The sequence below is a fragment of the Homo sapiens genome, chromosome 2, assembly GCF_000001405.40.
Source record: "Homo sapiens chromosome 2, GRCh38.p14 Primary Assembly".
NCBI lineage: Eukaryota > Metazoa > Chordata > Mammalia > Primates > Hominidae > Homo > Homo sapiens.
This window is the reverse complement of record NC_000002.12, coordinates 207119192-207135014: the sequence shown is the minus strand read 5'-3', so window position 1 is coordinate 207135014 and position 15823 is coordinate 207119192. Positions and strand designations below refer to the sequence as shown.

Genomic DNA, 15823 nt, shown 5'->3' with positions numbered 1-15823 from the left:
CCTCGATAGGTTTCTTTATGTCTGTCTGGAAGTGTAATGAAAAATAACACTAGTTATTGAATAGCTACAACATACAGAGTGTGCATGCCCAGCCCTTCCAAGTACTTGGCATGTCAATTGATTGAACTCTCACAATGCTTCTGCGTTGTAGGTACTACTATTACCCCATTTTACAGGTGAGGAAACTGAGGCACAGAGGGGTTAACTTCTCCCAGGGGGATTGAGCTAGTGAGTAGTGTAACCTGATATTGGACCCAGGCAGTCTGGCTCCAGGGCCAATGCTTGGGTCCCTGTTCTTCTGCCTCTCAGTATGCGAATGGCCAGTCTGTTTCTTTAATTGGAGTGAGTGGCACTTGGCACACCCACACAGCCACCTTAAACATTGTGGGAAATCAAGTCCAAGTATCTCAAGTAACAGTACAACAATCCATATCAGGAAAAACAGCTTAGGGCTTGACTTCATTATGGTTTTGGCTGCCATTTTATGCATTCTGAGTAGAAGAAACATTCCTCCTAGCGCCCCCACCTTGTCTTTAACATTCCGCAGTGGAAGTTCCTCAAAGCTCTCCGTTTTGAAAGCATCCTCTATGATTACCAGCCACTAAATTGCATCTGCCACCGAGGGCCCAATGGGCTTTGAACCTGTTATTCTTGGGAAATTCAAGCTGCGAGGGAGAGAGAGAACGTTGTACACGTGTGCAGCTGTGCTTTGGAGTACAAGAAGTAATCGTATGTGTCTGTGTGTTTTTTATGGGGGTAGGGGAAGGGTATATTAATTAACCCAACTGAGAAGGAGATGACTGTGTTCCAGGAAGGAGCCAATGAAATGAGTTTGCTTTAAAAAAAAAAAAAAAAAAAAATCCCAGTAGCCCGAGTCAGCCTGTGCAAGTGATTTGGGAGAGGAAGGGGAGATGATGTAACTGGTTCGGCATGTTCCCGTCTTGGCCAGTGAGTGTAAAGGGGCCCAGGGAGTTTGAGGAGGGTGTGTGAGTGTGTGTGCAAAGTTAACAGGAGCGGGTGGGGGTGCATAAGAGCGGGCTGTAAAACAGGATTAATAATGCCTTGTCAGACCTTTCCCTGTTACTGTGTTTTTCAGTAATTTTGGTTTGAATGAGGGCTCTCTAGCCAATTAATGTTTATTTGTTTCCTTTGGCAAGATCCACTGGGGGGAGGAATGAGATTGGTGAGTTTAAAATTTTTGTTTTGTTGTTGCATTTTGGAAGAAGAGGCGAGTAATGTGAGTTTGGGTTTTCAATGATGGCTCCCCCCCTCCCCCTCTTAAGAGGCAGGAGGCAAGACATGGCCAGCTGGTGCCTTGAACTGACACAGGTGCAGAGGCTGTAGGGGGTGGGGAGCCAAGAATAATTACAGGTTTCTGAAGCATCAGGCCCTGCCTGACACAAGCGCTCGTCAAGAAAACTGCTCTTTATGGAAAATTAATGGGAAGCTGAAAAAGCGACAGGGCCATTGTTGTTCTTAGGAAGCCATCACTCCTCTGAAAAGAGGCCTCCTCCCACGTCCTTGGGCTCTTGACGAACTGCTTAGAGTCCTCTCCTTTTGGAGCAGGGACCGACTGGTTGCCATTGTCATGGGATGTGATGGGTTTTTCCCATTGGAGTGTCTCTCCTGCATTTTCTCATTCTTAAATCTCACTTTCAGTGCAGATCCAGCCCTTTGCACTTCCCAGTAGTATGGGTAGGATTATTTTTATTGACTCTTTAAGATGTGAATTTCATTTTGTCCGTGGAAGTGTAATGACCAAAGCAGGGCCATCTAATGGAACTTGCTTTCAATCTGTATGTAACAAGTGGGATTTCCACCAGTGAGTGCCAACCTGAATAGGGGCCTGGTTGGGAGATGAGGGCATAGGAGATGAGGGGATAGCATACAGGAGCATCTTCTAGGCCCCAGCTCTGCATAAGCAGTGTTGTCTCTTGACTATTCAGAAGCTGTAATTTAGTTATAGTCCAGTGGCCAAGTAATAGTGAGCAATTCTTCTTAAGGGCTCTCTGCAACTGTGGGTAGAGGCCAGGCCAACAGACTCCCAGTCAGTATGTCCTGCAGAGTAACATCTGGAAAAACAACTCTAAACCAAGTTAGAGAAGCCTCTCTGTGCATGGGCCATCATGTCCCTAATGGTCGCATTGAATTTTGAGGATCACAGACATAATGAATGAGGAAAATGCATTTCCAAGTTGTTGGAAGTGTAGGGGAACCCAGTGCCTTCCTTCAAGCGGTGTGAGGCCTGGGCCATAGCTACCAGCTCTGCCCAGGTTATGTGACTTTAAAGCTCACTTTGATGGTTAATTTAGATTTGAGTTGTTTTGGGAATTTCTTTTATGCACTGCAACTAAGGAATCCTTGGAAGATGAAAGGGGTATTTGAGGCTGCTTTGCATCATGTGCCTGGGGAAAGTAATTTCAAAGACATCACCCTCTCCCCAGGCCTTTAATCTTGTCTCCTTTCTCCCCCTCCAACATCCTCACCACCCACCTCCCCAAGGAAACATATGCAAACAAATATTTTCTTTGTTTGTTGAAAATAGGAGAAGAGAAACATGGAAGAGGTTTTGATAGAAATTTTTCAGCTTTCATGTTTGTTTAGATTTAAATTAGTTTTCACAGCATTGTCTCTCAAAATTTACAAATTACCAGAGGGAAATATATAACTTGGTTTCAGCTCTAGCAACCAGTAGATGTGAGAAACAGTGGAAAGCAATGCAGTCTTAACATTTGTTGTAGTCCCCTGGTTATTTCATGGAGTTCAGCAATCCTGACAGTAATGTGTAATGCTATTGTACCTCTGGGGTGTGCTATTGTTGTGGGTTTTCTTTTAACCTAATAGCTTAAAAAAAATGCAGTAAGATTTTCACTCATACTGTCTACTTGATTATCCACATTTTCTAGATGAAATTCTTTCTCTCCTAATATTTCCTGGTCATGAAAGGCAAGAAAAAGTGAACATATGCTTAATATCTTGTTAGGAATCACTCTCTAGGTCTCCCAAGGTGGATGCTTGCACTGGTTCATGCATCCTTTCTGCCACGAGGTAGATTCAGTGTTACCGTCTTCTTCCTCAAGCCTATTTATAATGTTGAAACCCAGGAAGGCAGGCAACAAGGTTCAGATGCTTGGCATCTGAGATTGTCTCATGGACTTCCTGAGTTTATTAAGCATAGTACATCTTTTTCCTCCTCCTCCAACTCCTGTCAAAAATGTACCAGATCTCCCTGGCCATGCTTCCCACATCTTTTCCTGTCTTTCAATTCTGACTTAATTTTGAAAGCCTAGGAATGTGTCAGAATCATTACATCATATTATTCTTTGAAGAGAAAGAGAGTCACAAAGTTCCCATCAGTATCAGTCTTTGCAATCCAGATTTTCAAGTTGGTTTCTGGAGTCAGAGAATCTGCCTTTTTTGCTAAAAAGTGATATGTAAACACGTCTAGTAAGTTAGAAAAGAATGAGTATTTTAGAGGGTGGCTTGAAGAAAGAAGGCCACACATTTCCCTCCTAACAGTAGCTTGTTTTGTGTCACTCTGAATTTCCATTCTGGGATGTTTGAAGATTTCAAAGCACAAAAAAGCTAATTAAACTTTGGGACCCTCCCAGGAGAAAGGCAAGGGGTTTGTTTCTCTCTTTCTTTACTTGAAACTCTTTGGGGACTGTGACACCATGGTTAATAGCATGTGACAAAAACCACACAATAAATGTCAGAAAGGGCTCCCATGGGCAGCCAAGTGCAGTTTACCTGCTTGTGCAATTACTTAGGTGAACATTCTTTCTGGGAACCAAAGTCTGTCCCTTCCTCGCCAGAAGCATCATCCTTCTCACCACCATCATCATCATCCTTCAGATCCAGATCTGATCTCAGAGGAAGCATGACTTTGCAAGTTTCCACATGGTGGAAAGCTGCACTTTCCCATGCTTTTATATCTACATTCTGTCCCCAATTTGTTTAATCTCTTTGTACTTTTAACTCTTGGCCCTTTTAGGCGAGATAGGTGGAATGACTGAGATTAAGGGCAGCTGGCTAAAGGACCACAAATGACTGAAAATTGATTAGAAACATTGAGTGTAGTTGGTGGCCTTTTATTTCGTTGACTCTGTACCAGAAAAAGTCATTAGAAAATTGCAATTTCTTTATTTCTTTAAATTTGTTTTTTTACTTACTAACTTGAGTATACATGGATCCAGAGACTCCCAATAATTACCCAAAGTGGCATAGTTATTGGGTAGTAGCAAAAATATTGCACCAATGGTTTTGTCTTATGTTCAAATTAAAAGACACAGAAATAAAAACTGAACCTTTTATGTTCCAGGTGATTTGTTTGAAAAGTGATGGTATTGAAGAGGCTGGACTACAGTCTGCCCCAACTAAACATGGTTGTAGTTATAGTGGTTGCAATGGATGGGAGTTGTGAGACGATTCTAGCTCATTTTTTCAGAAAGTTCTAGCTCTTCCAACTCTCCATCACTTCAAACACTTAGACATATCTGCCATATGAGAAAACAGAGGTACAGGTTTAGCTCTAATCACTTAACTTTACTGTTTAGGAACGTATGGTATAAGAAATATCATTGCTTTTAAAATCATGATCTTAATAAACCAGACATCCCACCAATCTGTGGACTCTAAGATTCATTTTGGAAATACCGTTTAATTGTCCAGGGTTGAAGAGGAGTGTCTTTCAACACTTGACAGTCAGCGTATTTTCTTGACTCCATCTTTTTCTAGGTTGGGCTCCCTGAAGGGGATAGACTTTATGTTGAACTTTGAATGAAAGAATGATGAGTGGGAGGGAAGGCGAAAGGAAGATTGTTTCGAGCATATGGGCATGGGAAAGTAAGGACAAGAAAAATAGGTGAAGGAAAGAAACCCTTTAGGTAAGGGTCGTAGGGGAAATAGTCAATGTGACAGGAGATGTGTGCAATCCTGACTGGCAAGTTCCACGTAATTGGTGATGAGATAAAGACAGGTTAAACAGAAGCCATTTGGTAACCTTGGCACCATGCCCATATATAACCAAATGTCTTATATTGTTCTCAAGGCTGTGAAAGTAACTACCTCTTGTCAGCAGCAGAGAGCTTTTGATAAACTTAATATGTGCCACAAAACTTGAATTATCCTGTTTTCTTTCAACTTCTGTCTCTGGAAAATTCTGCCTCTGAGCAACAAAAAATGAATAATGATAATAGTGGATTACAATCCATAGGATAAAATAAAAATGAATTCATACTGATACAAACAAATGATTGAATAAATAAACATGGAGAGGAAAAGTCAGGTCCTCCTTGTAGGAAAATTATCATAGATGTAGTAGGCAGTAATAGGTTTAAAGTCTATTATTTTTTAACTAGGTCTTGGATTATTACTTTTAATAAGTGTGTTGCAACAAGTGAGAATGCTATGAAAAGCATGAAGAGAGTATTAAAAAAGGTTTCAAGATGAGCAGTTCAATATGAATTTCAGGTGATATTTATTAGGAAGCTAGGAGAAGCCATGCATTTCAAAGTTGAGATATCAAGAGAATCTTCACAAAGCTCATCTGTGACTCATCAATATAGAGGAAAATCACTTTGCACTCGGGAATATTTTCTTCCCATTGCTGACTGTAATGAATTTTTTAGGGGTTGGGGGTTGATCCAGTGGCTCAAGCCTTAAGTTGTATGGTTAGGTCAGGCTGAGGGAAGCCTTGTACCTCCGAGGTGAGTGCCAGACAGGCATAATTTGTGTCATTAAACTGACATTCGCTGACTCCGATTTGGAGTTTGCTGGCAAGAGTATCATTTGAACAGAGAAAATCTCTGGTTCTAGTGGAAAAACATTTGAACTCTCTATCCAAATTTACAGTTTAGGGACACTTTTAGCCTGCTGATGGTCTTCGTCTCTCCCTGTTTTTTGAAGTTAGTTTAGACTTACAGAAATGTTGCAAAAACCATACATAGAGTTACCAAATATTGTTTGTCCAGCTTCCCCTAATGTTACGCAACCATAGTTCAATTATAAGAACCAGGAAATTATCATTGATATAATACCATTAACTAATCTAAACACTTCCTTTGAATTACATTATTTTTTTCCACCAGTCCTTTTACTGGTTCAGGACCCAGGCCAGGATCCATTGCATTTAGTTGCCATATCTCCTTATTCTTCTCCAGTCTGTGACAACTTCTCAGTCTTTCTTTGTTCTTTGTGACCCAGCACTTAAAGAATAACTGGCTATTTGCTTTGTAGAATAGTCCTCAATTTAAATTTGTCTGTTTTCTCATGATTAGATTGAGGTTAACCATTTTGACAGAAATATCATAGAATAATATTGTATCCTTGTCAGCTTATCATATCAGGGGTACATGTGATCAATATTACTTGTTCCTTGTGCTGCTAATTTTGATCATATGGCTAAGGTGGTTTCTTCCAGGTTTCTCCACTGTAGAGTTATTATATTTTATCTTCATAATTAACAAATAAATATTTTGTTCGGTGGATACTTTGAAACTAGGCAGATACCTTGTTTCTCATCATAGATCTTTCTACTAGTTTTAGCATCCATTGGTAATTCTTAACTTGTAATCATTATTACTTTGCTGTTTGCCTATGGTGATTTTCTATTTCCATCATTCCTTCTGTGTTTTTGAATCATAATTTTACTGTAATGAGGAGCTGACCCTTTCCTTCCATCTTTTAATTTATTCAGTCATTTATTTATATCAGTATGGATTCAGGGATATTTATTTTATGAATTATAACCTATTATTATTCATTTGGCCATTGACAGCTCCTTTAAGTTGGCTTCTGAGTCTTTCTGACATGACTTCATCACTTTATGAGCACTTCCTTATCTTTTGGTACCACAATGATATTCTAGGCTCAACTTTTATTTTCATTGTTCCAGCCCTTCCAACAACTATTTCTCTAGGGAGTCCTGGTTCCCTTTATTGGATAATGATATTTAGAAACCAAGATCCCTGGGCTAAGTGTGCTCATTGCTCCTGGGGTTATCTTTGCCTGTAGCTTCTTTCAGTGGATGGAGTTAGGAAATATATGTATGTATACTCACACATGGATATACACATTTATTTCTCTATGTATGTATGTGTGTGTATATTAAAATCCATGAGGAAATACTAATACCTCAGTTCCCATCAAACATCATAGGGATTTTTTTTTTTGACACAGAATCTTGCTCTGTCACCCAGGCTGGAGTGCAGTGGTGCAATCTTGGCTCACTGCAACCTCCACCTCCTGGGTTCAAGTGATTCTTCTGCCTCAGCCTCCCGAGTAGCTGGGATTACAGGTGCGCACCACCACACCTGGCTAATTTTTTGTATTTTTAGTAGAGATGGGGTTTCATCATATTGGCCAGGCTGGTTTCAAACTCCTGACCTCAATTGATCCATCTGCCTCAACCTCCCAAAGTGTTAGGATTACAGGCATGAGCCACTGCACCCGGCCTGTCATGGACATTTCTTATGAGAGTTCTCATAATCATTTACAAACAATGTTGGAAGTAAATGTTCTCATTGGCTTGGAAATAATCTAATATTAGAATCCTCCTCATCCTTAACATTTTAATCTCCATACTCCTGATGAGAAAAGTCTTTAACCCCCTCACTGGGGTTTCGAATTGACAAAATCTTCTCCTCTACCTTAACTTCATCTCCAGCAGATATAAGAAGTGTATTTCCTAAGACAGCAATCATTTCATAATGATTTGACAGGACTGTCCCAGCACATCCCGATGGGTACTTATGCTTCTTCAATTTTCAGGAGGAGTAAAAATGCCCTGTATTAGGATTGCAAATTATAGCCACTCTGAAATGGTCCAGATTTTTCCACATTTTAGTGATCAGATGTCTCTCATCTTTAGATCATAAATATGACTCATGTGCTCCTGCAGTTCACACCAGGGCATACTGCATAAGTTACTTAATCCTCCCAGAAGAGTGTGTAAATGTATTTAGAATATCTCAGCCCTGCATTCAGATCTCTTCTGAATATGAAGAGATCTGAGCCTTCTAATAATCACAATATCTTAGTGACTTTTCAGTCTTTGGGCTGGATAGTATGTAAATAAATGGCATACAAAAACTCTATTCACAGGCAGTGATGATTGAGTATGTGAAAGTCATTGTAGAGGAGGCAGAGAACTACCTCAAGGACATCTGATACCCCATGAGTCAGCTGATTTTTTTTTTTTTTTTTGGTAGAAACAGGGTCTCGCTGTCTTGCCCAGAGGGCTGGAGTGCAGTGGTACGACCATAGCTCACTGCAACCTTGAACTCCCGGGCTTAAGTGATTCTCCCGCCTCAGCCATCAGAGTAGCTGGGATAACAGGCACAAGCCACTGCGCCCGGCAAATTTTCTTTTAGTTTTTGTGGAGACAGGGTCTTGTGTTGCCCAGGCATACTGATTTTTACCTAAAACATATCTGTGTCTCAAAGATCTGGTACTGCTCTTTGGGCAAAGCTCAAGAAGCATTGCAATTGTATTCCCAGAGATATGTATTAGTGGTCATTTCCAAAATTGCCCCCTCAGCATGGTACAGGGTAGGGTTTCAAAGATGGCTATTGAAGAGTAGAAGAGGTAGAATGATCAAAGTAATAGTATAAAGTGGGCTTTGTCTTTGACAGACATTATGTACCTGTTAGGTGCCAGGCACTGTGCTTGGTAGGTGATGATTCAGAAAGGGAAGAAGAAATTTAAGGGAGGTTTCAGGAGTAGAATCTTATAATTCAGAAATCAATTGAATGGAGCCAAGACTGAGGGCTTCAATATTGGAGAGATGTAAGTGATAATTTCTAGCAATGAGATGGAATAAGGAAGGGGAAATTTTTGAGAAGTGGAGTTCAGAAAAGAAGCAAGTGAGGATAATTCATATTTCTAGACCTGAGAAGGTCATCATACTGGTTTCTAATGTAGAGTAGTGGGAAGCTACTGAGTCAGAGCTATTATTTAATCAATAAGTAAAACAGAATCAAAACTTACTTTTTCACTAAGCTTTCCTTGATTAATACTACATTAATAGAGTATAGAATTAGGTGTCCACTCAGCCCCTAAGAACTTATCAACACATTTTATACTATTTTTTGGTATCACATTTCTATGTGAGTTTATGTAATTTTTAGCTTGTGGTTGTTTATTCTATACCTGCATCATGTGGACCTACTGCTATATCTTCTCCATCTACCACATACAAAGCCTTGTACCTTGCTGTGAGCACAGTAGTTGCATGAACACTTGTGACATGAGTGTTGAATGAAGACTGGAACCATTCATTAGTTCTTACCATTGAAAATCAACAGTGAGACCCAAAGCTGATTCATAGTTAAAAATCTGATTTTCTTATTCAGTAATGCAGAGTTTTACCAGAAGTGTGATTAAAAACCAGTCTTTTGAAATGTCACCAAAATAAAATCCTTGACAGATACAACACTACTAGGTATATCATTAAAATATATTCTTAACAGAATAAATGCCTAGAATCAGAACATCAGTTGAAAACATAGGAGCTTTACGGGGGCAGTAAATTTGGAACTAGTCACATTTTAAATTTGCCATCAGTGGGTCTTTGTTGAATCCAGAAGATAGAGCAAATTGAGCTGATAGTGCAAGTTAGCAACATAGTTTTATACAAGATTCTGGAATTGTAGGATTTTTGAGTGAGGAGGGCTTTAGAACAAACTTCTTAAATATCGACTTTTGCCATAAAAGCACTCCCCCATCTTACAAAAACTTATGAGTGCCATGGATGAAGATTTGTTGAAACTAAACTTTTTTGTTCTTCTCCCCTGTTTCTTTATCGGGTGAAAATTTTATGTTGAAATATATTGGGTCCTATCTTTAAGTGGTCTAAATAGCTATGTTTGAATTTATTTTTATCATGTAGTCAGAGATGCTAAACCATTGAAATGGGATTTATGCCCCTTGCCACAAAGTAATATAGCATTGTATTTTAAATGACTTGCTATAAACAACAAGGGTTTTGTCTTGTGCCTCAAAAGTTTTATGGTAGACATTCTTTAGAACAGTATTCTTTCCTGCTGGTTATGGAATCCATCCCCAAGGCAGGGCTTGCTGTTGTTTGATTGTTACTGAGGTCACCTCTTAGTTTGAGTGAACATGGCTTGTTCTTCAGAGCAAGTGGGAAAACTGACTTACTTGTGTGATGTGCTCAAGTCTGTTTTGAATAATGAAGTTGGACTCTGGGAAGTCTTGTCTTAGTATGAAAACCTTATCTGTTTCTATTTGCTTCTTGCTTGCATGATAATTTCTAGAGGGGAAATTGGAGCATCTTACCTGCTGAATTGGATTGAGGGGCAAGAGATCATCATTTGATGTTCTCTGGAATCTCGAAGGTATGAGATAGTCCTTCTGGGGCTCTTGTTCTCCTTCAGCTAGAGTAATTGAAATCATCTGATGTGACCCTTATGAACCTTTCAGAGGTATTCAGAGAATAAATAACAAGGTCAGACCTTCTACTAAGGCATTTCTGATACAAGCCATGACACCATTCTCTCTGCACCTTCCCCCTCTGCCTGTCAACGTGTGGCCTCATGGTGTTCTGTGCCTCTGATGGCTGTTTCTCTCCCTCCTTCTTCCTCTTGCAGACATGCCTTGAATTGGAACGCTACCTACAGACGGAGCCCCGGAGGATCTCAGAGACCTTTGGTGAGGACTTGGACTGTTTCCTCCACGCTTCCCCTCCCCCGTGCATTGAGGAAAGCTTCCGTCGCTTAGACCCCCTGCTGCTCCCCGTGGAAGCGGCCATCTGTGAGAAGAGCTCGGCAGTGGACATCTTGCTCTCTCGGGACAAGTTGCTATCTGAGACCTGCCTCAGCCTCCAGCCGGCCAGCTCTTCTCTAGACAGCTACACAGCCGTCAACCAGGCCCAGCTCAACGCAGTGACCTCATTAACGCCCCCATCGTCCCCTGAGCTCAGCCGCCATCTGGTCAAAACCTCACAAACTCTCTCTGCCGTGGATGGCACGGTGACGTTGAAACTGGTGGCCAAGAAGGCTGCTCTCAGCTCCGTAAAGGTGGGAGGGGTCGCAACAGCTGCAGCAGCCGTGACGGCTGCGGGGGCCGTTAAGAGTGGACAGAGCGACAGTGACCAAGGAGGGCTGGGGGCTGAAGCATGTCCCGAAAACAAGAAGAGGGTTCACCGCTGTCAGTTTAACGGGTGCCGGAAAGTTTATACAAAAAGCTCCCACTTAAAGGCCCACCAGAGGACTCACACAGGTAGTGGTACAAGTTGGCCGCACGTGGTTTCTTCTTTCCCCTCCTGTAGCCTCGTCATGTGGGAGGGCTCCTCTTTGTTCTGAGGAGTGGCACCCCTGCTGATGAGGAGGTGATAGACAGGCGGGAGGCCCCAGGTAGGGACAAAGAATGACTCACTTGTTACCTTAAGATCTCAAGATGTCCCAAGCACAGACGGGTTTGTCCCTACAGTGCCAACCACAGCATAGAATCATACAATTCTGAGGATGGCTGAAGGGGGCCCTGGCAGTGACTCATAGCTGTTTGTGACACAGACACTTGTCGCTTTCCTGACACTTTGCATTGTTTTATGAGTGTAGCTCCACAGTTTTGATCAACACTGGGAGCTGAGGATGCATTTGAAAGCATTCACAGTTAAACAAGGTAGCTAGGGTGTCCCTATTCACTCTTTTCCCAGCATCCTGATTTTTCATCAAAGTCACCAACAGCAGGAGGGTTTCAGAGTTCATTAGATGTGATCATTCTATAATTAATTGGCATCTCCTCTTTTGCATTGTTCTCTGGCGCGTGCTTTATGGAGAGATGGCAGAATTGCTTTTTAATGAGCTTGTTACTGAGAAGTTGCTAAAGTGATTACATTGCTATGTGTGTGGCAAGAGCGGGTGGGGGAGGGATGGGGATTGTGTATTTTACTCAGGGCATCCTAGTAGCCCAGGAAGAGACACCATCCCTAAGTTCCAGTCATACTGATCTTTTGAGCAATGGGATAATTTGGAAAAGTGGGGTTTACACAGAAAAGCGTGAAACTCTTATTTTTCTTGGAACTGGTCTTTGTTCTCTGCTTTGAGATTGGAGCTTAGGGGTGGTGTCTCTTCCTGGGCTACTAGGATGCTAGTAGCAATTACTGTGATTGGTGGTTTTTAAGTGAGTCTCCAACAGTGTGCTACCTGTATGGTTTTTGCATACTGTTTGCACACTGCGAGCTGAATAGGGAAAATCCCCAAAGGTGTAAGTGGAAGTATAAAAGCATTCTTGGAGAGAAATCAGTGATAGCATATGAGCTAGGAAAAGTGTTTGGTGCTCTGGGGGGCCTTCTGGGCTGTGCCTCCAAAGAAGTGTGCAGGGGAGAGATTGCTGGCTGGAAAATCAGAACAACCTGGGCTTTAGTTCTAACTCTGCCACTATCCAGCTCTGTGACCTTGAGCCTGTTCCTTTACCTCACCAGGCCTCATTTTCCACATCTGTTGAACAATCTGGCTCTTAGGGCCCCTTTCAATTCTAGTGTTCTGGAGGTCCATGAACTGTTTTTGTGTAGTAGAGAAGAACTTTCCTGAAGTTCGAATATATAATATATGACAGAGGAAATCACTGTTATGAACCTTAGAGTTATTCCCATGGGAGGATGAAGACTGACATTGCTTCCTTGCACACCAGGACTTGGGCCTGTACTGCTCTAATTCTGAACTTAATTTCCTGTGTGGCTCTTGCTTGGTTCATGGGACGGTCTCCTAACATAATGTTTATATCCCGTGGCTCAGGCATAGAGACCCACTCATGGTTTCCCATCAGAATTTGGGTTCCAGTTCACCACTCCACATACACACACCAAGGCTAATGATTCATGCTATTGTCAGTTTTTGCTTCTTTGATATTGTTCTGAAGGTAGTTTTTATTGATACTTCTTTCTTTCTAAAGTCAATGAGTAAAGTTATGGCAAGACATTGGAAAGACATTGCAGTGCTCCCAGGCTGGAGTGCATGACTCATCTCCTGGCCCCTCCAGGAAACCGGAGAAGGCAGAAAAGGGCAAGAATGTTGTGTTGTCTTTGGGCTGTGGAGTTCATGATTATGGACACTTTCTGAATTATTGGCACTAAGGGCACATCCTGCTTAGCATGGAGGCTGGACAGCTCTGGGAAAGCAGAGATTCTTTTTAGGGAGTCCAGAGCATTTTTTTCTTCTTTCTTATCCCCTCTTTCCAATAGAGATGTCAGAAGGGTGACTGTTAGGGTTGATACATTATGTGGTGCTCTGTTTTTTTGAGCATTGTCTACTCAGAGTGATTACCAAGGTGGAGCTCATTATGTTACCTGGCACCTGCAACTACTTGCCTCATGTTGGACTAAAGTGGAAAGACTCCTATTGGGAATTCACTCAGGGAGGCACCAGGCATTGTTAGAAAAGCAGTATCGCAGAGCACTTAAGAGCTGAGCCTTGTGATCGGGTGGACTTGGGTTTATGTCCTCGCACTGTCGCTTCCTAGATTTATGACCTCAGTTTCCTCATTTCTAAAGTAGAGACAATTGTGTCTACCTCCTAGATTGTTTTGAATATTAAATGAGCAGATACTTGTAAAATACTTGTAAAAAAGATAAAACAAATACCTGATAGATAGTAAGAACTCATTACCGATAGTAGTGGGGTTGATTGTAGCTATTACTGTTGTTGTTGATATTAGTGATGACTGAGTGATAAAACAGCTTTGTAAACCAGAAACAAGCCAGTTAGCCAAAGTTAACTACCACAAAACAGCAAGAAGCTTTTTCCCTCTCGCTCCCAGTGGTTGATCAATGGGATGTGGGGTGATGACACCTGTGGATACAAGTTGTGGAGGATAAACCAGACATGCAAGCATTAGCCCATAGAAGTTGGCAATAAGGCAGAAAGATCATGGCTTTCCTCCCACAACATAGAAAGCAGTTACCTTGCATCCACAGAAGCATTTTGCCTGTAAAACCTTCCTCAGAGACATGCACGGAAAGTAGGTGCTACAAGAAAGAGAAACAGATAAAAGGGGAGGTAGAGACAGGGATGGAGGGTGGGGAGAATATGAATTAATTTGGATTAAATGGATGAGAATCAGAAGTATTTATTTGGAATTGGTGTGAATTGGAGCACATGGGGAACTGAAAACAAAGGTGATAATTTATGTGGTGTAGATGAACTAAGAATAATGAAAACAGCATGAAGGATGGAATCAAATTAAGTGCAAACATATAAAGGAAATGGACTGGTAAAAGCTCGAGGGCAAAGGTGTATGGAGATGGGAATTCAGGTTGGAAAGAGGCTGCTGATACAAGGACTGGAGTTGGGAGAGCTGCTGACCAAATGTGGAAATGAAGATTTTTTAAAAATGGGCGCTGGTTGGATTCAGGCAAGCTATTTTAACCCAGGACTCACTTTAATTCAGTCAAAATATTTCTTATCTTCCAGTTGGGGAGGTGTTTTGGGACAGGAAAAAAAGGGAGATAAGAATACCATCCCAGAGAAAGAAGAGAAGTATTTGCATTTTGTTCTCTAGAGTTGCAGATATATGCTGTATCTCTTCTATATGGTAATACATTGCAAAGGAGATACAGTGAAGAAATGAAGTAAAATAAAATGTGTGTGTCTTCCTCTCATATGCATAAAGGAAGACAATACATGTTGGTAACATGGATTTGCTTGCATTGAAGAATTTTTAAGGTGTTATTCATTTAATCTTTATATAGACAGAATTTACTGAGCTGAAAAAGATATGCATTTTTTTCCTTCTGTGGCTGTTTTTTGAGGATGCTGAATCCTTCAAAATTTTTGCCCTGGAGGATATTAGGCAATGAGGTGATTTTTTATTTATTATTTTTTAAGGTAGCAGATGTTCACATTGGTAGCTAGGGCACAAACGCAGGTTGCCCAAGGAAGTAAAGTTAGAGATGGGGGTACTGAGCTGGAGGTGCAGGATAACGAGGCGAGGAATGGGACAAAGGGAATATTATGAAGTAGCAGGATTTAGTGAAAGGAAGCATATAAAAATGGACATAAGGGCCAGGTGCGGTGGCTCACGCCCCTAATCCTAGCACTTTGGGAGGCCTAGGCAGGTGGATCACCTGAGGTCAGGAGTTCGAGACCAGCCTGACCAACACCCGTCTCTACTAAAAGTACAAAAATTAGCTGGGCGTGTGGCGCGTGCCTGTAGTCCCAGCTACTCAGGAGGCTGAGGCAGGAGAATCGCTTGACCCCAGGAGGCGGAGGTTGCAGTGCGCCGAGATTGCGTCACTGCACTCCAGCCTGGGTGACAGAGTGAGACACCGTCTCAAAAACAATAAAAATTAAAAAAAATGGACATATGGTTTATTCATTGGGAAGAGCACCTAGTGTTGGCATGAGTGTAAAAATGTTCTTAGCAGCCAAGTCATTGCAGACCTTTCTCTCCTACTCTGTGTTCTGGTCTTCATATATTTTTCTTTCTCACAAATTCTACCATTATGATCATAGTTGTATTCATCTTCTTGAGTCAGCTAAATAATCCTTATATTTTGATGAAAAGTAACCTTCACTTCCAATATTAAAAAAAAAACTATGCTCATTCTCAGCAAAAATCAATTTTTAAAAATCTTAATAGTTTCTATGTAAAAAAAGAAGGATTTTCTACATTTCTTCTTAATTACTTCTGAGAAGAGATAAAAAACCTTTCATTGAAATGGTGCTTTGTGCTAAGTAAACAGACTTTTCAAATTTGAAAATCCATATAAAGGTACGTCCACATTTATGTTATTATGAGTGAGTCATATTGGTGAAGTCAGGACAATGGCCTGTCATTAGATCTTTGATTCTTGTTTGCAGTG

The 15823-nt window shown here is 41.2% G+C and overlaps 1 protein-coding gene across 16 annotated transcripts in view, besides 1 other annotated feature; it reads left to right on the top strand.

Annotated features, from left to right (window-relative positions):
• Positions 1–15823, top strand: part of KLF7 (KLF transcription factor 7) — a 99715-nt gene that overhangs the window by 38837 nt on the left and 45055 nt on the right. For 12 of the 16 annotated variants that reach the window (XR_923051.3, XM_047446149.1, NM_001270943.2 and 9 more), the window contains one exon: positions 10611–11241. Coding sequence is in view for 14 of the 16 variants with exons in the window: in XM_047446149.1 (XP_047302105.1) it covers positions 10611–11241 (631 nt within the window). In the remaining 2 variants the exon portion in view is untranslated. Of the gene's footprint in view, positions 1–877; positions 949–10610; positions 11242–15823 lie in introns of those variants that run through there. The other 4 variants (NM_001270942.1, NM_001438026.1, NM_001270944.2 and 1 more) reach the window with 3 other exon arrangements.
• Positions 8016–8310: a silencer, noted in NCBI's record as "tiled region #11101; K562 Repressive non-DNase unmatched - State 24:Quies". NCBI's record gives its function as "represses a minimal TATA promoter and a strong SV40 promoter by Sharpr-MPRA in K562 cells {active_cell/tissue: K562}" and the evidence as "EXISTENCE:reporter gene assay evidence [ECO:0000049][PMID:27701403]".